The 3,439-nt window shown below is 32.8% G+C and overlaps 1 annotated feature.

The window, feature by feature from the left end:
- Positions 3,104–3,304: a silencer, noted in NCBI's record as "peak701 fragment used in MPRA reporter construct". NCBI's record gives its function as "represses an SCP1 promoter by STARR-seq MPRAs in K562 erythroleukemia cells {active_cell/tissue: K562}" and the evidence as "EXISTENCE:reporter gene assay evidence [ECO:0000049][PMID:32103011]".

The raw sequence follows: 3,439 nt of genomic DNA on the forward strand, positions 1-3,439 counted from the left end.
TAATTTTATGTGGAAATGCAAAAGACTTAGAATAATTGAAACAATTTTGAAAAAGGAGAACAAATCTGGAGGAGTTACGCTATCTTATTTCAGACTTTAAAGCTATAGCTATCAAGATACTGGTTATCGGTATGAACAAAGATATACAGATCAATGGGCCAGAATACAGAAAAGAGATATAGACACATACAAATATGGCAATTAATTTCAACTAAGGTGTCAAGGCAATTCAAAAGGGAAAAGATAGTCTTTTCAATGAATGTTTCAGGACAATTGAGGATATTCGTATGCAAGAAAATAAATAAACCTCCCTTACCTAATACTATATATAAAATTAATTTCAAATGCATGCTAGATCTAAATAGAACAGCTAAAATTTTTAAACTTTCAGAATAAAACAGAAAATTCCTCTGAGCTGGGAGTAGAAAAGATTTCTCAGATAGGAATGAAAAGCACAAATCGTACAATGATAAATTGAACTTCATCAAAATGTTTATAAATTGTTGTTTAGGGAATACTGTTTTAAAAATGAAAGTGTAAGTTACATACTAAGAGGTAGTATGTTCATGACATAATATGATAAAGGAGGTATATATTAAATATATAAAGAACTCTCACAACTCTGCAATAAAAAATTTGCAATTTAAAAAGGGAGAAATATATGGACATATTACCAAAGAAGACAAACAAATAGCAAATAAGCACACAAAAAAATACTTAATATCAGTAATGTTTAGAAAAATTAAAGTTAAAAGAACAATGACATATCTCTACATGACCACTAAAATGGCTACAGTTTTAAAAGCTGATAATCCCCAGGGCTGAAAAGGATACGAAGTGACTGGAGATTGCATATATTGCATATATTGCTAGTATATTGCAGAATATTGCATCCACTTTAGAAAGCAATATGGCAGTTTTTTAGAAAGGTGTTATATGTTCTAGCAATCCTACTTCTAGGTATTACTTTTTTTTAAAGGAAAACATATAGCCACGAAAAATGTGTGCTTGGAATTTTCATAGAGCTTTATTCTTAATATAGGTCCAACTAGAAACAAACAAAATGTCCATCATATGGTGAATGGATAAACTCATTTTTTTATAATCATATAATAGGCTCAAGAATTTAAAAAAAGAAGTTTAAAAGAAGATAAACTTTCGATACATGAATCTCAAAAGCATTATGATAAATGAAAGGAACCCAGTACCAAGACTGCCTAGTGAAATATTACATGACCTATACACCTCCATTTATATGAAATTCTGACAGAACTAGAGTCAAAGGAGGAGATCAGTGTTTGCTGAAAAAGGATTGAGGGTGTAAAGATTGACTGCAAGGGTCATGAAGGAAAATTTGGATTGATGGAAACGTTTTATGTCATGATTGTGGTGGTGGTTACACAACTTAATTTGTCAAAATTAACCAAATGTTACTCCTTTAAGGTTGGTACATTCTTTGTATACATATTATACTTCAATAAAAGCTAGTTACATGAACAAATTAGAGTAGGATCACTACTCTGTCATGTACTATTTACTTTAAAATCCCCCAAAATAACCAAGTAAGTGCAGTACTTTTAATACTCTTCTTGTAAAGGAAGTCTTATGTGTGTTCTGGAGTTGAGTTAAAATCTTGAGGTGTTTCTGATAACTTTTGACTGCACAATCTCCCTTCAACCCTCAGAATGTAGCCTTCAAAAAACAAGAGGGGCTGCTAGGGTACAAATAGATTCCTAATATGGTTATGTATAGGGTAATTTCACAAAATGATTCCCAATATTACAATTTTGTGGACAGAAAATGTACCATCACACATAATGTTTAAAAATATAATATCAATTGTTTTTGTTGATATATTTAACTCTTGGTCTCCGGTTTCCCTGAAAAAGCGTTTGGTTTTCCAGTTTTTTTCAATATTTTTCACTGGAAATACTTGAAAATTATTCAGTTGGTTAACACTAAGAAGTCTAATCTCCGTATCTATCTACTATAGCTTAGAATTTTTCATATTATAAAATTTTACATATCATAGATATTTTGCCTGCCATGTTTATTAAGCATTATATTTTAATCTGTTTTGTGGTTAGTATGAAATTTCAAATCATATACCACACTGGTTTTAGATTTTGTGACTTAAAGATCTGTAATTAAATTACATTTTTTGAGTTTTTAAAAATAATCTGCAAGACACTTAAGCTGTATAGGTTTTAGTTTCTAAATTTGTGTTAAAATTTAAACAGAATTCATCAAAAAACATTTAGTGTAATTCTGATGTAATTTAAATTAAATTACATCAGAGTTTCTGTTTCTTTAATTTCATTTTTCTAACACAAGAGGGAAGTGTTCTAAGGCTCTAGATGAAAACACATACTGAATGAAAACCCCTATGAAATTAGGCAGGTATACTTAATTAAAGTTGCCACTTGGCTAATATGTTTTCCATACTCCCACACACTGTAATATCATAAATATTCTTTATGTCCAAAGTGTGCATCTTTGTGAAGAAAATTAATGGGTTCTGAGGAGAAATAAAACAGATGTTATTATTCTTTGGTGTTTTAACCATCTACCCATATCTTCCTCTTAAATGTCTGACAGCACTTTAGTACAGGAAGTCTGATATAAAGGGAATATCTGTGGCTAAAGCTATATACAGATGCTCAAATTATGAAATTAAAACATAAGGACAGTTTTGTTCCCATAATTAAGGTCTGTCCCTCACTTTCCTGCTTAGAAACTGAATTGCTCAAGTTCTGTCTTTTAGGCAGAGTTGTCTACATTCATCACATTTACAGATCCCTGACTGAGAAAAGTTTTAGCGTTACATTCAGCTTTGTTGCAAAAATGTCAGCATTGTCTTGTACTTGGGATGGCTGGTTGTGTGTGATGGCCAAGGTCTGCTCAGGGAAGGGTACTCTTTGTTTGACTGAATCACTTGAGACCATAGAGAAAAGGTGCCCTGGGAATAATCAGAACTGGCTGATCAGAGGAGGAACAGAAATGTGGAGCTGTCCAAAAGAGAGAGGTGGAGAACTAGTTTGAAGTCAAAACCAAGCCAAAAGAACTGATGAGGTTAAGAAACCAGCAGGAAGGTATACTTGAAGTGTAAGCAAGTGATGCTTAAGACTGAAGGTGTGGAATTGGGCTAAAGCTGCCCAAAACAACAGTGATATTTTCTTTGCTTCTCTTGGTGAAAGAGCAGTGTCAAGACTTAAACATTGTATAAGAACCATTTTGCCATTTTAAACAAATCAACACTTGCAAACCATGTCCCTCCCTGCCCTATGATTGCCCCGTGTAAGCTTTTGGTTACAAAAAGCCCTCAGAACAAAAAATGCAGGCCAGTTGTAAAGCCTTCATTCACGAAGGCCCAGCCTCAGGGCTAAATGGGAGAGTTCTGCCAGCCATCAAACTTAACAGCCTTTAAACATGTGCAACA

The sequence above is a fragment of the Homo sapiens genome, chromosome 1 (assembly GCF_000001405.40).
Source record: "Homo sapiens chromosome 1, GRCh38.p14 Primary Assembly".
NCBI classification, from domain to species: domain Eukaryota; kingdom Metazoa; phylum Chordata; class Mammalia; order Primates; family Hominidae; genus Homo; species Homo sapiens.